The following is an 18,488-nucleotide window of genomic DNA, read 5'->3' on the forward strand; positions in this document are numbered from 1 at the left end:
ATGAACCTGGGACTGGCGCAGTGGCTCATGCCTGTAATCCCAGCACCTTAGGAGGCCGAGGTGAGCGGATCACCTGAGGTCGGGAGTTCGAGACCAGCCTGACCAACATGGAGAAACCCCGTCTCTATTAAAAATACAAAATTAGCTGGGTGTGGTGGTGGGCACCTGTAATCCCAGCTACTCGAGAGGCTGAGGCAGGAGACTCCCTCGAACCCGGGAGGTGGAGGTTGTGGTAAGCTGAGATCGTGCCATTGCACTCCAGCCTGGGCAATAAGAGCGAAACTCCGGTCTCTAAATAAATAAATAAATAAAAACGTGGCTGGGCGTGGTGGCTCACGCCTGTAATCTCAGCACTTTGGGAGGCTGAGGCAGGCAGATCACGAGGTCAGGAGTTCGAGACCAACCTGGCCAATATGGCGAAACCCCATCTTTACGAAAAATACCAAAAATTAGGTGGGCATGGTGGCACGCGCCTGTAATCCCAGCTACTCAGAAGGCTGAGGCAGGAAAATTGCTTGAACCCGGGAGGCGGAGGTTGCAGTGAGCCGAGATCGCGCCACCGTACTCCAGCCTGGGTGACAGACCAAGACTCCGTCTCAAAAAAAAAAATAAAAATAGGCCAGGCGCAGTGGCTCACGCCTGTAATCCCAGCACTTTGGGAGGCCAAGGTGGGCAGATCACAAGGTCAGGAGTTCGAGACCATCCTGGCTAACAAGGTGAAACCCCGTCTCTACTAAAAATACAAAAAAATTAGCTGGGCGTGGTGGCGGGTGCCTGTAGTCCCAGCTACTCGAGGCTGAGGCAGGAGAATGGCGTGAACCACGGAGGCGGAGCTTGCAGTGAGCCGAGATTGCACCACTGCACTCCAGCCTGGGCGACAGAGCGAGACTCCATCTAAAAAAGTAAAATAAAATAAAATGAAAATAATAAATAAATAAATAAACCTAATGTTACTGCACTTTCCCATTTCAAATTGCAGCCAGCAATGAAAACAGGCATTAGCATTCCCATTTCTTCTCTTCTCCTTCACTGGAAGGGCAACAACAAACACACCCACGGTGTAAAAACAGCACCAAGGCCGGGTGCAGTGGCTCACACCTGTAATCTCAGCACTTTGGGAGGCCGAGGCATGCGGATCACCTGAGGTCGGGAGTTCGAGACTAGCCTGACCAACATGGAGAAACCCCATCTCTACTTAAAATTAGGCGAGCATGGTGGCGCGCGCCTATGATCCCAGCTACTCAGGAGGCTGAGGCAGGAGAATCACTTGAACCTGGAGGCGGAGGTTGCGGTGAGCGGAGATCGCACCATTGCACTCCAGCCTGGGCAACAAGAGAAAAACTCCATCTCAAAACAAAACAAAACAAAACAACAGCACCAAGGAAGGCGCTAAATGGCTACTTGTAAACAACCCAGGTTGGACACTGGACCCACGACAAGGAGGCAAGTTCCGTCCTGTGGTGGTGTTTGTGATGGGAAGTCTGGGGCTTTGACTCCCTCAAGTTTCCAGGCTAACACACACAACTCTTCCCAGCAGCTGAGGGGCCCCGAAGCCTTGATGTCCCTTTCACGTTGAAGGACCTCACTGGTCTTGGCTGTTTGCGTTTTGTGGATGGAGTGGGCCAGTCTTCAGAGAACTCAAATGTGTATTTGCTGCAGGGAGTGATAAGTAAACATAATGCCTCAAGAATCAACATTTGAATGCTTTTCTTTTTGGCGTTAAGGTATAATGGGACACTGGCAATATATGCTGTCTCTCTGAACACAGCATGAAAGAACTTGAAAACAAATGATTTAGTATTCATTACGGAAAAGTTGGATTTTTTTCCCTCTCTGATTGTCAAGATTTCTTCGTCGATGTCAGTTTTCCAGTGTGAATTTTTCCTCTCCACTCAGAGGAAGTTGACGTTGGTTCAGTGATGTTACAGAGGATGCTGTAAGACAGCCAGGAGCCCAGGCCGGTTGTCACTTCATCCCAGCATGGTGCAAAGTTAGAGATGTTGCAGTGACAGCCTTGGGTGCCCTCAGGGGCAACCAAGTCTCTAAATAATCTCTGTGACCAAAAGTACATAGGAGGTTGTAAATATCCCACAACAAAAATAAAGATAGCTGCCATTTCCCAGAACTTAATGCATATCAGGAAATGTTACCTCTTTATATATATTGTCTCATTTAAATCCAGTAAGATAGCAGCAGCTGTGGGAGGATGTGGTTTTTGTTTTTGTTTTTGTTTTGAGACAGAGTCTTGCTCTGTCACCCAGGCTGGAGTGCAGTGGCGGGATCTCGGCTCACTGCAAGCTCCGCCTCCCGGGTTCACACTGTTCTCCTGCCTCAGCCTCCCAAAGTAGCTGGGACTACAGGCGCCTGCCACCACGCCTGGCTAATTTTTTTGTATTTTTAATAGAGACGGGGTTTCACATGTTAGCCAGGATGGTCTCGATCTCCTGACCTCGTGATCTGCCTGCCTCGGCCTCCCAAAGTGCTGGGATTACAGGCGTGAGCCACCGCGCCCGGCCTGAGGATGTGGTTTTATTCCCATTTAACAAAGGCTTGAGTATCACTTCTTATTTATTTATTTATTTTATTATTATTATTTTTGAGACGAAGTCTCACTCTGTCACCCACTCTGGAGAGCAGGGGTGTGATCTCAGCTCACTGCAACCTCTGCCTCCCAAGTTCTAGTGATTCTCCTGCCTCAGCTTCCCGAATAGCTGGGAGTACAGGTGTGCACCACCTTGCACGGCTAATTTTTGTATTAGTAGAGATGGGGATTCACCATGTTGGCCAGGCTGGTCTCAAACTCCTGACCTCAGGTGATCTGCCCATCTTGGCCTCCCAAAGTGCTGAGGTTACATACTTTATTAACAAAGGAGTGAAGTGATACCCCCTCTCCCCTGTAAGTAGCAGCCAACATTCAAACCCAGGTGTGTCAGATTTTAGAGCCACACTGACATTCAGCAGCTACTGACTGATTGTCTACTATGTGTTAGGCATTGTTTTCATCACACCTTTTATTTTTTGTTTTGTTTTTTAGGGACAGAGTTTTGCTTTGTGGCCCAGGTGTAGTGCAGTGGCATGATGTTTGCTCACTGCAGCCTCGAGCTCCTGGCCTCAAGTGATCCTCCTGTTTTGGCCTCCCAAAATGCTAAGGTGCTGGGATCACAGGTATGCGCCACTCCGCTCAGCCCACATATTTTTAAGTCTGCTTTTTAACCTAATTTACTTATTTTGGGGGTCTTAAAAAATTGGCTCACAGCCGGGCGCGGTGGCTCATGCCTGTAATCCCAGCACTTTGGGAGGCCAAGGCGGGTGGATCACGTGAGGCCAGGAGTTCAAGACCAGCCTGATCAACATGGTGAAACCCTGTCTCTACTAAAAAATACAAAAATTAGCCGGGCGTGGTGTCGCATGCCTGTAATCCGAGCTACTTAGGAGGCTGAGGCAGGAGAGTCGCTTGAACCTGGGAGGCGGAGGTTGCAGTGAGCTGAGATCACACCATGGCACTCCAGCCTGGGCAACAAGAGTGAAATTCCGTCTCAAAAAAAAAAAAAAAAAACCTATTTAAAAATGAAGGCTCATGCAGAATGCTCTGCAAGTTCAAAATAAAACAGAGCTCTGAGCGCCTAGAGGCTTTTTGCCTTAAGGGGCGAGGAGGAAAAAGATTAAGATGCTCCTTGGAAAATAGCCCTTTTTGGCTCCATCTCCTTTACTGTGGTCACCTGCACATGCCTTTAGTTCTTCTGGATTTATATCTAAGCACGTTGCTCTGCTACATAAGAAGCTGACAACATCAGTTACCTTCCTGGAGGTGAAGGAGAGACAAAGGGGCTGAGTGGGTGAGAGGAATACTTTCCACCATGAACTCTTTGGTACCTTTCGGAACCACGTGAATACAGTATCTTTTCAAAAGAAAAGGGTGCTATATTCATTGTCCTAGACTATTAAGCACTTTAAAAGGCACTTCAGGTAATCTAGTTGAAGTGCAAATTTCACTGAACCCAGACTATTATGCAAACAGGACTAGCTCTGTATTTATTCTTTTATGTTGTGGCTTGCCATCCAATTTGTGTTTCCGGGGCTGGGCACGAGGTGGCTCTAGCCTGTAATCCCCGCAGTTTGGGAGGCCAAAGCAGGCGATCAGTTGGGGCCACCATCTCCATTGTCCCTTTTTAAATTTAAGTGACCATAGCTTCTTAGTATGATATCAGGTTTTTGTTTTCTTCCCACCTTGTCTTTGTTTTTTAGTGTGTGGATGCCTTTGAAATTAGTTTTTTTGTTTGCTTGGTTTTTTTTTGAGATGGAGTCTCACTCTGTCGCCAGGCTGGAGTGCAGTGGCGCGATCTCGGCTCACTGCAACCTCTGCCTGCCAGGTTCAAGCGATTCTCCTGCCTCAGCCTCCCAAGTAGCTGGGACTATAGGCACATGCCACCATGCCCAGCTAATTTTTTGTATTTTTAGTAGAGACGGTATTTCACCGTGTTAGCCAGAGTAGTCCGATCTCCTGACCTCGTGATCCGCCCACCTTGGCCTCCCATAGCACTGGGATTACACATATGAGCCACTGTGCCTGGCCAAAATTAGTTCATTTTTTATACATGTCCTTTACACAGGAGATGTATTCAGAAAGATTATCTATATTTTTTCCTTTAAACAATGCATTTGTTTGTTTGTTTTATTTGTAAGCTCATCTCCTGGGTTTAGAGCAGAATGAAAAATTTGACCTTAATCTTCTCTTATCCACTGGTTGGAAGCTCCTACTTTTATGTCAACAGACATAAAAAAGCTTATACATATAAGATAATGTATAGCATGCATAAAGATTTATAGAATGCTATGTCTCATAAATTTCACAGTTATAAAACAAAACCTAAGCTTATGCATGTGGAGATATTCCTGTGTTTGCAGTTGTCAGTGACTTCTAGAGAATGTGGTAAAGGAAAAAAGCACCTGTGGAAGTTATTTATGTAAAAGTTGCTTATGTAAAGACTCAAGCCATTAACAAGAGAAGGAGACTTCTTTATATTGTTAATGACATTCAGATCTTTCTTCTGAATGAGGGTTGTCACTCTGAATGAGTGTTGTCATTCATTTCCTCCAAGCCTTCAGATATCTTTTTCCTTTATCTGACACATTTCAGGAAAGAGTAAGGGAAAGATTTATTTATATTACTTTGATGGTTTCATTTTCTTTGTGGAAGTCCAGTGACCCAGATATAGAGATCTTCTTGGAATATATTACTTTGATGGTTACTTTCTCTTTTTGGAAGTCCAGTGACCCAGTTATACGGATGTCCTCAGAACATTTGAAGTCTAGTTCTGCATTATAAAATAGCCCAGTTGCCATAGGTTGATTTCCTGTAAACCTAAATCATGATTGCAAACTAATTTGGATGCTAATTAGGACTCATATAATGATTATATCAATTTATAACTTGTCTAACAACAATGCATTTCTTTCTTTGCTAGGTTAAGTATTTACACTATGACCTGTGAACAGGGAAACCGGCCTGTGTTGAGTACTTTCTATGAGCCAGGTGCTCGACTGTGTACAAACTTAGAAGAACCAGGTGCACACGCCAGGTTTGGGGGCCGTTTGACAGTCAGCATTCAATAAATGTGTTGTTTAAGTTGATATAATTAATTTAAAAGGAAGTAGCAGGTGATGGTAGTACACTTCATTGTCCTAGAATATTAAATACTTTGTTGTCAGCAGACGGACTTCTTTCATATGCACAGGTCATCTTGAGCACGGATCCTAAGCCTAGTCTTTAATCCTTCCTAGCATCCTACATGAGCCAAACTTAGACAAAAAACAAGGCAACTCTTGGTTATCTAGGGCAATTTGAAATCTCAGCTACCTCCACTGTGTCCAGCTCACCGCAGTTATGCATCTATTTACAACATTATGTTTGCAACATTATGTTTAAGCAAACCACAATGAAAGCATTAAACATAGAATAACTATGATCCAGCAATTTTACTTCCAAGCATATACCGAAAAGTGTTCAAAGCAGGGACTCAGATACTGTGTTCCTGGGTACATGGGTACACCCATGTTTATAGCAGCATTATTCTTGATAGCCAAAAGATGGAAGCAACCCAGGTGTCCATCGACAGGTGAATGGGTAACTACAATGTGGTGTACACATGCACACACACACACACACGCAAGAATATTATTCAACCTTAAGAAAGAATGAAATTCTACCAGTCACGGTGGCTCACATCTGTAATCCCAGCACTTTGGGAGGCTACGGTGGGCGGATCACCTGAGGTCAGGAGTTTAAGACCATCCTGACCAACATGGTGAAACCCTGTCTCTACTAAAAGTATGAAATTAGCCAGGTGTGGTGGCACATGCCTGTCATCCCAGCTACTTGGGAGGCTGAGGCAGGAGAATCGCTTGGACCTGGAAGGTGGAGGTTGCAGTGAGCCAAGATTGTGCCTTTGTACTCCATCCTGGAGAGCAAAATTCCATCTCAAAAAAAAAAAGCATGAAATTCTGATACCTGCTATAACACAGATGAACCTTGAAGATATGCTGAGTGAAATAAGCCATATGCAAAAGGACAAATATGTGATTGTACTTATATGAGGTACCTAGAGTAGTCAAATTCACAGCACAGAAATGCGAATGGTGGTTACCCGGGGCTGGGGGGAAGGAGGGAATGGGGAATTGGTGTTAGTGGGCTTACAGTTTCAGTAGGGGGTGATGGAAAAGTTCTAGAGATACATAGTGGTAATGGATGCACAATATTGTGAAAGGACAAAACTATACCTAAAAATGGTTCAAATGCTAAATTGTATGTTATGTATATTTTGCCCCAATTTTTTTTTTTGTTTTTTTTTGTTTTAAAGACAGAGTTTTCCTCTTGCTGCCCAGGCTGGAGTGCAATGGCATGATCTCGGCTCACTGCAACCTCCGCCTCCTGGGCTCAAGCAATTCTCCTGCCTCAGCCTTCCAAGTAGCTGGGATTACAGGCTCGTGCCGTCATGCCCCGCCAATTTTTGTATTTTTAGTAGAGACAGGGTTTCACCATCTTGGCCAGGCTGGTTTTGAACTCCTAACCTCGTGATCCACCCACTTTGGCCTCCCAAAGTGCTGGCATTACAGGCGTGAGCTACCGTGCCTGACGTATTTTGCCCCAATTTTTAAAAGCAACATAATAAAGACAAAGCCACTGGGAAGGATATAAAATGCCCCTGAGCCAAACACTGTATAGCCAAAAGAGCAAAACTACAAAAACTGCACCAAGCTTCTTTGTAAATTCATTCTTCCACCCTCCAGGACACTCTTGCCTGGTTTGCATCCTGAGAGTCTCCTGGGGTTCCAGTTATTTCAAGGTCACAGTCAGGTAGGCACGGTGGCTGTGCTATGGTGGAAATGGCTTTTGGATTCCTCGTAATTTTGGATTATCGGTGCCCTGTTTTTCTGAGACCAAAACTTATCAATAGAGTATTACGGAAGGTGATATGTAGTAAGTGCACCTTTCTTGGGCATTCAGTCTAAATTCAATAGTAAAGGGAAAATCACATATAGTCAAGTCCAAATTGCTCATGATGTTACAGTAGATCTACATGTCCCTAACTTGATTACCTATTTTCCCTCCAGCACTGGAGTGCATCTCTGCTTCTTCAGCCGAGCTCCAGAAGGAGAAGATGGCTGCATTTAGAGTCAGACTGGAGGAAAAGGAGCATTTTGATATTTTATTTTATTTTTATTTATTTTTTAGAGACAGGTTCTTGTGTTGTCATCCAGACTGGAATGTAGTGGTTGCAGCTCACTGCAGCCTTGACCTCCTGGGCTGAAGCCATCCTCAAGCCTCAGCCTCCTGAGTAGCCAGGACTACAGGTGCCGTGCCACCAAGCCCAGCGAATTTTTGTATTTTTTTGTAGAGACGGATCCTGCTGTGTTGTCCAGGCTTGAAATTTGATTTTAAACATATTAGGCATCACACTAAGCCCCCAAGACAAGATAGAAGCTTACAGAACCTTGACTATCTGGAATGACTTTCACAGAGTGATTTCATCTTTCTTCTTACCCTCAATGAGTAACGTGAAGGCTGAGCAGGTCATACTGTTCAAATTATTTATCTTCTTTAGACTTTTTTCTTCCAAACACCAGTAGTTGAATTTGAGTACTTTAAGTGCTAGTATTATGCAATTTCATTTTATTTTATTTTATTTTATTTTTGAGACAGAGTCTTACTCTGTTGCCCAGACTGGAGTGTAGTGGTGCGATCTCGGCTCACTGCAACCTCCGCCTCCCGGGTTCAAGCAATTCTCCTGCCTCAGCCTCCCAGGTAGCTGTGTTTACAGTCATGCGCCACCACGCCCGGCTAATTTTTTTGTGTGTCTTTAGTAGAGACGGGATTTCACCGTGTTGGCCAGGCTGATCTCGAACTCCTGACCTCGTGATCTGCCCCCCTCGGCCTCCCAAAGTGCTGGGATTACAGGCTTGAGCCATTGCACCCAGCCTGGATTAATGATTTCGAATGAACATTTACAATGATATGTTTTATAATAAAACACATTAAAAAGTTTGAAACACTAGTTACTAGAAACAGTTCTCTCTGTAATGACAGTTAGTCATGTTGTTGCTGCAGTGACAGTTGACTTGGTGTGAGGGTATTGATAAAGCCTGGTGATTTGTACACTTGCCCATATTATGCTTTTCCCAGGCTAGCTATGCAAATCTCATTTCCCTTACATTTGAAAGTCATTTCAGAATTGTTTCATTAGGGTTGAGGCAAGCACAAATCATGAATGCCTGTGTCTTCTACCACCAAACAGATTCTGTTGGACCCACAACTGATATGCTTTCAGCCAGGTTCCATTTAGCATTCACCCTGGACTTAGGGACTCTACAAGAGTGCTGGGTATTTAGTTTTGTTTTGTTTTGCTTTTTGAGACAGAGTCTTGCTCTGTCACCCAGGCTGGATTGAAGTGGCGCAATCTCAGCTCACTGCAACTTCCACCCCCTGGGTTCATTCTCCTGCCTCAGCCTCCCAAGTAGCAGGGATTACAGGTGCCCACTACCACACCCGGCTAATTTTTTTGTATTTTTGGTAAAGACTGGGTTTCACCATGTTGGCCAGGCTGGTCTTGAACTCCTGACCTCAGGTGATCCACCCGCCTTGGCCTCCCAAAGTGCTAGGATTACAGGCGTGAGCCCTCACACCCGGCCTGATGCTGGGTGTTTTGTACAGTGGTCCCACCTTACTGTGTAGAAATTCTCAGTCATCCACCTAATTTGTTTATTTCCCATTCATATACTTCATTTATTCACTCACTCACTTGGCCATTTATGCATATTTATTGATTTTGTTAAAAAGATACCTGAATGAGTGGAACACTGAGATGATATAGTGGAATGGACGGATAGTGGTTAGCCCCTTGGACCCATGAGGGCCAGGTTCTGAAATTCCAGCTCTGAAATTCTACCAGCTGGTTGACCTTGGGCAAATTACTTAGCTTCTCTGTGCCTCATTTCTTCATTTATAAAATGGAGATAATAGGTTAAGAGGGTTAGATGAGACATTCATTCATAGTACTTGGCACACAGTAAGAGCCCAGTAAATACTAGCTGTTGTTATGGATTGAATTGTGTTGCCTCCCCACAAACTCATATGTTGAAGTCCTAACCACAGGTACTCAGAATGTGATTGTATTTGGAAACATGGCCATTGTAGATGTAATTATTTAAGAAGAGTGATTAGGCTGGGCATGGTGGCTCACACCTGTAATCCCAACAACTTTGGGAGCCTGAGGTGGGCGGATGATGAGGGCAGGAGTTCGAGATCAGCCTGGCCAATATGGTGAAACCCTGTCTCTACTAAAAATACAAAAATTAGCCGGGCGTGGTGGCAGGCACCTGTAGTCCCAGCTACTCGGGAGGCTGAGGCAGGAGAACTGCTTGAACCAGGGGGGCGGAGGTTCCAGTGAACCGAGATAACGCCACTGCACTCCAGCCTGGGCGGCAGAGCGAGACTCTGTCTAAAAAAAAAGAAAGAAAAAAAAGGAGTGATTAGGTTGGGCACTAATCCAATATGATTGCTGTCCTTAAAAAAAGAGAAAATTTGGGCACAGAGATAGACATGCATAGAGGGACAATGGCCATCCACAAGCCAAGGAGAGGGTCCTGGAACAAATCCTTTCTTACCAGTCCTCAGAAGGAGCCAGCCCTGCTGACACCTCAGTTTCAGACTTCCAGCCTCCACAGCTGTGAGACAATAAATGTCTGTCAGTGAAGCCACTCAGTCTGTGGTTCTCTGTCACAGCAGCCCTGGCCGAAGACACAGCTGGCAGCACCGTCCTCCGCTACTGTGTTTCTCATTGACCCGAGAACCTGCCTTTGTCCATGTCCTGGCCAATGGGAGATACATTTTCTCCTTCTCAGCTTGTATTCCTGTCCTTTTCTTTCTTTTTTTACAAAATAGCATACAAAAAAGTTCCTAGCAAGAAGAGGTGCTCCAGAAGTTCCCTGGCTGTTTCATTCCTGTGTCTCTTCCTAAAAAGCTGCAGTTGAAAAGATAGAATTTGTTTTCTCTTAGCACATTCTTCTCACTTTCTAAGCTTGATTTTTCTTTCTTTGAAAGAGTGTAACCCCTTCAAAATTAACTCCTAGAGATTGCTCACCTCCCTCCCAAACTTTCGATGAGGAGCGTTTATTTTGTAGACTCTTATGTGTGAATTCTTTCAATAAATAGGGGATGCAGAGAAGCAGCTTTGTGGAGTGAAGCAGTAGGAAAGAGCCTGTTGGGGAGAGAGCTTCGCCACTGCATTTCAGTAGCTGGTTTCGCCCCTACCTTTTTTTTTTTTCTTTCTTTCTTTTTTTTTTTTTTTTTTGAGACGGAGTCTCGCTCTGTCGCCCAGTCTGGAGTGCAGTGGCGCTATCTGGGCTCACTGCAAGCTCCGCCTCCCAGGTTCACGCCATTCTCCTGCCTCAGCCTCTCCGAGTAGCTGGGGCTACAGGCGCCCGCCACCAAGCCCGGCTAATTTTTTGTATTTTCAGTAGAGATGGGGTTTCACCGTGGTCTCGATCTGCTGACCTCGTGATCTGCCCGCCTCGGCCTCCCAAAGTGCTGGGATTACAAGCGTGAGCCACCGTGCCCGGCCCACCCTTACCTATTTTTAAATGGTGACTTGTGTTTTTATTTGTTTGTTTTTAAAGACACTTGAAATTGGACAGTGTTTCTCCATCCTCTCCAGAGGCCCAGAGCAATGTCGCAAGGATGCATTCTGGACGAGGCAGTCACGGGGCCGCACATGGCATTTGTTCTTCTCAGGGACCGTCTGCTGTGTTTCTCTGCCCCAGTGGAGCTGGGGGAATAATAAAGCTCTTATTATTTATACTGCACAGCATTTTTTTCAGTGGTCCTTGTCATTGAGACTTATGAAGACAATGTAGGACAAGAGGGAACTTGTGAGTTTTTATGCAGGTAGGGAAGAAAAGTAAAAGGGGCTATATTTCCAGGGATATTGCTTTTTCCCAAACCCCTGCACTTCCCCAGTCCTTTTCTTTATCTTCCTTTCCCAAATGAGAGGTGTCCTTCTTCTCCGGTATCAGCCCCCTAGTTTCTTCCCTGTCCTCGGGGAATCTTGGTACACCATTTAGCCCCTGTCTTGGTTTTTGACTCTGTCCCTTTGTGGAATTCTTACCCATAGCTTACAGTGATGTTTCACATACATCTCTGCCAAAGATGAAGTGGAAAATAACCTTTGCTTTGTAAGCACATCTCCTTCAAGCTATCGACAAGTCTCCTGGCTTCTCTTAGTTTCTAACCCCTTTTTTTTTTTTTTTTTTTTTTTGAGACAGAGTTTTGCTGTTGTTGCCCAGGATGGAGTGCAGTGGCGTGATCTCGGCTCACTGCAACCTCCGTCTCCTAGGTTCAAGTGATTATCATGCCTCAGCCTCCTGAGTAGCTGGGATTACAGGCGTCTGCCACCACACCCAGCTGATTTTTGTACTTTTAGTAGAGAGGGGTTTTGCCAGGCTAGTCTTGAGCTCCTGGCCTCAAGTGATCTGACTGCCTTGGCCTCCCAAAGTGCCAGGATTACAGGTGTGAGCCACTGCTCACAGTTATCTATTTGTCTTAGTCCATTTAGGCTGCTATAACAAAATACCATAAACTGGGTGTCTTATAAGCAACAGAAATTTATTTCCCACACTTCTGGAGACTTGGAGGTCCAAGATCAGGCAGTGGCAGGTTCAGTGTCTGGTGCTAAGGAAGCACCTGCGCCTCCCGGTCCACAGACGCACACCTTCTCACTGCGTCCTCATATGACAGAAGGGGTGAGGGAGTCCGTCTTTTTTTTTTTTTTTTTTTTTTTGAGACGGAGTTTCGCTCTCGTTGCCCAGGCTAGAGTGCAATGGCGCAATCTCGGCACGCAACCTCCACTTCCCGGGTTCAAGCGATTCTCCTGCCTCAGCCTCCCAAGTAGCTGGGATTACAGGCATGCACCACCACGCCCGGCTAATTTTGTATTTTTAGTAGAGATGGCGTTTCTCCATGTTGGTCAGGCTGGTCTTGAACTCCCGACCTCAGGTGATCTGCCCACCTCAGCCTCCCAAAGTGCTGGGATTACAGGCGTGAGCCACCGCACGCAGCTTTTTTTATTTTTTATTTTTTAATATTTTTGAGACAGAGTCTTGCTGTGTCACCAGGCTGGAGTCCAGTGGTGCCATCTTGGCTCACGGCAACCTTCACCTCCTGGGTTCAAGCGATTCTCCTGCCTCAGCCTCCAGAGTAGCTGGGATTACAGGCGCCCACCATCACGCCCGGCTAATTTTTTGTATTTTTAGTAGAGACAGGATTTCACCATCTTGGCCAGGCTGGTCTAGAACTCCTGACCTCGTGATCCACCCGCCTTGGCCTCCCAAAGTGCTGGGATTACAGGCGTGAGGGAGTCTGTCTTTTATAAAGGTGCTGATTTCATTTATGAGAGCTCAGTCCTCGTGACTAATCACCAACCAAAGGCCTCACCTCCACATTTGATCACACTGGGAATGAAGACTTCAACATACTTTGCAGGGGACAGAAACATTCTGTCTATAGTACCATTAACTTTCTGCTATGGAAGTTGAAGACAGTTCTCTTTTGTCGTATTATACCCCTGATACACACTTCAGTGTTTATACTGTGCCAAGGAAAGCAGTGTTCACAGCTGAGCCATACGGTACACTACAATTTTCCTTTCTCATATAACTTTTTGTCCCCTTGGAGTTAGCAATTGACTTTTTTTTTTTTTTTTTTTTTGAGACAGGGTCTCGCTCTATAGCGCAGGCTAGAATGCAGTGGCGTGATCTCGGTTCACTGTGACCTCTGCCTCCTGGGCTCAAGCGATCCTCCCGCCTCAGCCTCCCAAGTAGCTGGGAATACAGGTGCGTGCCACCATACCCAGCTAATTTTTGTTTTTTTGAGTTTTTTTTTTGGTAGAGACAGAGTTTTGCCACATTGCCCAGGTTGGTCTCCAAGTCTGGAGCTCAAGAATCTCCCTGCCTTGGCCTCCAAAAGTGCTGGGATTACAAGTGTGAGCTACCACACCTGGCCAGTGATTGACTCTTTTGCTAAAACTAATTTTTTCTTCCAACTCTTTGACAAAGTCGTCAATATTAAGCAATATACCCTTACTACTTTTGATTTTGTTTTTAAAGGAATTCCTTCTGGAGTCTTCTATCCTGAACTTGTCGCTTTCTAGGCCAGCTGCATTTCTGTGTTTCTAAAACTTCCATTGTTTATAAAACACCATAATCCTGGCGTTTGCTCTGTTTGTACTCTGTATTTCCAGTATCTGGAAACCATGTCTTCTTTCTTGGCTTATTTCCTCATTCAGGGCTGTGTGTCTTCTAGTAGTTATGTGAAAAGAGGGTTCGTGAAAGTTAAATGTTTTTGAGGCTATATGTCTGAAGAGGTCTTTGGTGTTCTTCAGACTTCATGGAAAACATTTTCCCTAAGAATGTTAAAGGCATTGCTCCCTTTTTTGCTTCTAATGCTGCCATTGCTTTAAAATGGTGCCATTTTGATTCTTGATCCTTTTTCTGTAAATTTTTTTCTCTCTTGAAAATCTCTTTCTTGAAGATCTCTCTTGAAGATCTCTTTCTCCCTAGTCCTCTCAAACTTTGCATTGATGTACTTTGATGGGATCATTTTTGTTAATTATGTAGGTGTTCCATAGGCCTTTCAGTCTGAAAATTTATGTGTTTTAGTTCTAGGAGCTTTCTTTGTATTTCTCTATTTCTTTTTTTTTTTTTTTTTTTTTTTAAGACAGAGTCTTGGTCTGTCGCCCAGGCTGGAGTGCAGTGGTGTGATCTTGGCTCACTGCAACCTCCGCCTCCCAGGTCCAGGTGATTCTCCTGCCTCAGCCTCCTGAGTAGCTGGGATTACAGGCATCTGCCACCATGCCTGGCTAATTTTTGTATTTCTAGTAGAGACGGGGTTTCACCATGTTAGCTGGGCTGATCTTGAACTCCTGGCCTCAGGTGATCCGCCCTCCTTGGCCTTCCAAAGTGCTGGGATTACAGGCATGAGCCACCATGTCTGGCCTCAAATTTTTATTTTTGATAGCTTTTTCATGTTCTCTAATGTTTCTGATTGATTGATTGATTGAGAAAGGGTCTTGCTCTGTTGCCCAGGCTGGAGTGCAGTGGTGCAATCATGGCTCATTGCAGCCTCAACCTCCTGGGCTCAAATGATCCTCCTGCCTCAGCCTCCCAAGTAGCTGGGACTACAGGCACAAGACAGTATACCTGGCTAATTTTTAAATATATTTTTTTGTAGAGACAGGGTTTCGCTATGTGCCCAGGTTGGTCTCAAACTCCTGGGCTCAAGCAATTTGCTTTCAGCTTCCTAAAATGCTAGGATTACAGGTGTGAGTACATGGCACCTGGCCGTGTTTGTTTGTTTGTTTTTGAGACAGGGTCTTGCTCTGTCACCCAGGCTGGAGTGCAGTGGTACAATCTCGGCTCATTGCAGCCTTGACCTCCTGGGCTCAAGCAATCCTCTACCTCAGCCTACCATGTTTCTTTTATAAATGATATTTTATTCCTGTTTTTGCATGTATTATAATATCTTATTTCTCTGTTTGTTCTGTTTTTTGCTCTGTTCTGCTCTTTGCATTGTCCGTTTCTCTTGAGTGCTCTTCCTGGTTGTTTGTTTCGGTTTTTATCTTTCAAGTTGATAACTTTTGTCGAAGGTCTGGTGGTGTTTGACTGTCAGTCCATATTTAAAAATGAGGAACTGGCCTGGTGTGGTGGCTCACGCCTGTAATCCCAGCACTTTGGGAGGCCGAGGTGGGCGGATCACCTGAGGTCAGCTGTTTGAGACCAGCCTGGCCAACATGGTGAAACCCCATCTCTACTAAAAATACAAAAATTAGCTTGGTGTGGTGGCACACGCCTGTAATCCCAGCTACTCAGGAGGCTGAGGCAGGAGAACTGCTTGAACCGGGGAGGTAGAGGTTGCAGTGAGTGGAGACTGCGCCACTGCACTTCCTCCTGGGTGACAGAGTGAGACTCCGTCTCAAAAATAAATAAATAAATAAATAATAAAAATAAAAATGAGGAACTTAAGGACCAGGAGCAGTGGCTCCTGCCTCTAATCCCAGCACTTTGGGAGGCCGAGGTGGGCGGATCACTTGAGGTCAGGAGTTCGAGACCAGCCTGGCCAAAATGGTGAAACCGCGTCTCTACTAAAAACACAAAAAATTAGCCAGGCATGGTGGCGGGTGCCTGTAATCTCAGCTACTTGGGAGGCTGAGGCACAAGAATCACTTGAGCCCAGGAGGCAGAGGTTGCAGTGAGCCGAGATCATACCACTATACTCTAGCCTGGGCAACAGAGCGAGACTCTGTCTCTAAATAAATAAATAAATAAATAAAAAGGAGGAACGTAACCATCAATAGAGAGTTATTTGTGTATGGAACTGATGGGCCTCACTGTAAGGTTATCAGCTGGGGGCCCACCAGCTTCACCAGAGGATCACCACATATCAGTGTCTGTAGGCTTGTTCTCCTGGGCTCTTCTGTTTTTCAGAGAGGTATCCTGTGCTCTCCAGCTTCGGGGGATTAGACCTGGCTTCCAGCATTCTAGAAGCCAAGGCTAGGAGGCAACTGGGGAATTCTCATTATTCCATACCTGGACTTTCACTCAGCCCGTTTCAGCTTTTGACTAACTCCTCCCCTTCACTGTGTTTTGCCTCCACAAAGTGAAAGCTTTTTGGGGTTCCATTTCTCCAGGGATTTACTTCCTTTGCCCTTTTGGAATGGGACAGGTTAAGGTCTAAGTGCTCTTTATAGAGATTTTCTTTTTTTCTTTTTCTTTTCTTTTTTTTTTTTTTGAGACAGTCTCACTCGGACTGGAGTGCAGTGGTGTGATCTCAACTCACTGCAGCCTGGACCTCTAGGGCTCAGGTGATCCTCCTGCCTTAGCCTCCCAAGTAGCTGGGACTACAGGTGCATGCCACCATGCCTGGGTAATTTTTTGTATTTTTTATAGAGCTCAAGGAATCCACCCGCCTTGGCCTCCCAAAGTGCTGGGATTACAGGTATGAATCACTACACCCGGCCTGTACGGATTTTCAAACAATCCTTTTGTTCCAACCCACTACCCTGCCTTCAGAGATACCAGGAACCTCTAGTTCCTAAGCTGTTCCAGAGTCCTGTGGTAGAAATAAGCTTGATGCTTTTGGCTTGTCATGTTTCTCAGGTCCCGGGGCTGCAGGAAGTTAGTAGTCAGTGTTTTCACTTGTTGATTCACTCTCCATTTGCCAGTGGTTTGTTAACATCTCTTATAAGGGATTGATTCTTCTGTTATATCTGTTTCTGTGGATTTATACTCCTCCCCTCTTCATTGTGGGTTTTAGAAAGAAAGCGGAGACAAATACTAATAATAATCTGCCATGTTATTTAGCAAACTTTTTAAACATTTTTAAATTATGAATGAGTATTGAATTTTATCAAATGCTTTTTCTCCATCTCTTGAGATGTTCAAAAGGCTTTTCTTTTCTCATCTGTTAATGAAGTGAACAATAATAAAGTGTTTTGTAATGTTAAATTGTCCTTGCTTTATTGGTGTAATTTTTTTTTTTTTTTTTTTTTTTTTTTTTTTTTTTTTTAGAGACAAGGTCTCGCTATGTTGCTCAGGCTGGGCTCAAGTGATTCTCCTGCCTCAGCCTCCCGAATAGCTGAAATACTGGTGTGCGCCACCATGCCCGGCAGACGTCATTTTTCAGTTTGCTGAAATTCTGAATTTTATAGAAATGTAAAATTGAGACTGGCCTATATTTTTCTTTCTTTTCTTTTCTTTTTTTTTTTTTTAATAGAGTCTGTCGCCCAGACTGGAGTGCAATGGCGCAATCTCGGCTCACTGCAACCTCCGCCTCCCGGGTCCAAATGATTCTCCTGCCTAAGCCTCCCAAGTAGCTGGGATAACAGGCATCTGCCACCATGCCTGGGTAATTTTTATATTTTTAATAGAGACAGGGTTTCACCATGTTGGTCAGGCTGGTCTCAAACTCCTGACCTCAGGTGATCCACCCACCTCGGCCTCCCAAAGTGCTGGGATTACAGGCGTGAGCCACCACGCCCAGCCTATACTTGTTTTTGCCTCCTTCAGTTTTTATGCTTTTTTCAGAAATGAATTGGGAAAAAATTATGTGGGAAACTTTCCCTCTTACTTTAATTTCTTTTCTTTTCTTTTTTTTTTTTTTTTTTTTTGAGACGGAGTTTAGCTCTTGTTGCCCAGGCTGGAGTGCAATGGCACGATCTTGGCTCACCGCAACCTCTGCCTCCCAGGTTCAAGCGATTCTCCTGCCTCAGCCTCCCAAGTAGCTGGGATTACAGGCATGTGCCACCACGTCCAGCTAATTTTGTATTTTTAGTAGAGACGGGGTTTCTCCATGTTGGTCAGGCTGGTCTCAAACTCCTGACCTCAGGTAATCCGCCCACCTTGGCCTCGCAAAGAGCTGGGATTACAGGCGTGAGCCACCACGCCCAGCCCCCCTCTTTAATTTCTTGAACCGCTTGTATAAGATATGAATTATCTGTTTCTTGGGCTGGCATGGTGGCTTACGCCTGTAATCCCAGCACTTTGGGAGGCTGAAGCAGGTGGATCACCTGAGGTTAGGAGTTCAAAACCAGCCTGGACAACATGGTGAAACCCCGTCTCTACTAAAAATTCAAAAATTAGCTGGGTGTGGTGGTGCACACATGCAATTCCAGCTACTCGGGAGGCTGAGGCAGGAGAATTGCTAGAACCCAGGAGGCAGAAGTTGCAGTGAGCTGAGATCATGCCGTTGCACTCCAGCCTGGGCGACAGAGTGAGACTCTATCTCAAAAAAATTAGAAAAAAAAAAAAAAAAAAAAAGAATTATTTTTTATTTTTTTGAGGCAGGGTCTCGGTCTGTTGCCTAGGCTGGAGTGCAGTGGCACGATCTCAGTTCACTGCATCCTCTGCCTCCCAGGCTCCCCGGATCCTCCTGCCTCAGCCTC

The 18,488-nt window shown here is 45.2% G+C and overlaps 1 protein-coding gene across 10 annotated transcripts in view, besides 3 other annotated features; it reads left to right on the plus strand.

Moving 5' to 3' along the window:
* Positions 1–18,488, plus strand: part of CLYBL (citramalyl-CoA lyase) — a 302,755-nt gene that overhangs the window by 92,405 nt on the left and 191,862 nt on the right. The gene's annotated exons all lie outside the window — the stretch shown is intronic.
* Positions 9,023–9,522: an enhancer, noted in NCBI's record as "H3K27ac hESC enhancer chr13:100360371-100360870 (GRCh37/hg19 assembly coordinates)". NCBI's record gives its function as "activates a minimal SCP1, AML or CMV promoter by ChIP-STARR-seq in primed H9 embryonic stem cells {active_cell/tissue: H9 hESC(primed)}" and the evidence as "EXISTENCE:reporter gene assay evidence [ECO:0000049][PMID:30033119]".
* Positions 9,533–10,529: an enhancer, noted in NCBI's record as "H3K27ac-H3K4me1 hESC enhancer chr13:100360881-100361877 (GRCh37/hg19 assembly coordinates)". NCBI's record gives its function as "activates a minimal SCP1, AML or CMV promoter by ChIP-STARR-seq in primed H9 embryonic stem cells {active_cell/tissue: H9 hESC(primed)}" and the evidence as "EXISTENCE:reporter gene assay evidence [ECO:0000049][PMID:30033119]".
* Positions 17,542–18,331: an enhancer, noted in NCBI's record as "H3K27ac hESC enhancer chr13:100368890-100369679 (GRCh37/hg19 assembly coordinates)". NCBI's record gives its function as "activates a minimal SCP1, AML or CMV promoter by ChIP-STARR-seq in primed H9 embryonic stem cells {active_cell/tissue: H9 hESC(primed)}" and the evidence as "EXISTENCE:reporter gene assay evidence [ECO:0000049][PMID:30033119]".

The sequence above is a fragment of the Homo sapiens genome, chromosome 13, assembly GCF_000001405.40.
Source record: "Homo sapiens chromosome 13, GRCh38.p14 Primary Assembly".
Taxonomy (NCBI): domain Eukaryota; kingdom Metazoa; phylum Chordata; class Mammalia; order Primates; family Hominidae; genus Homo; species Homo sapiens.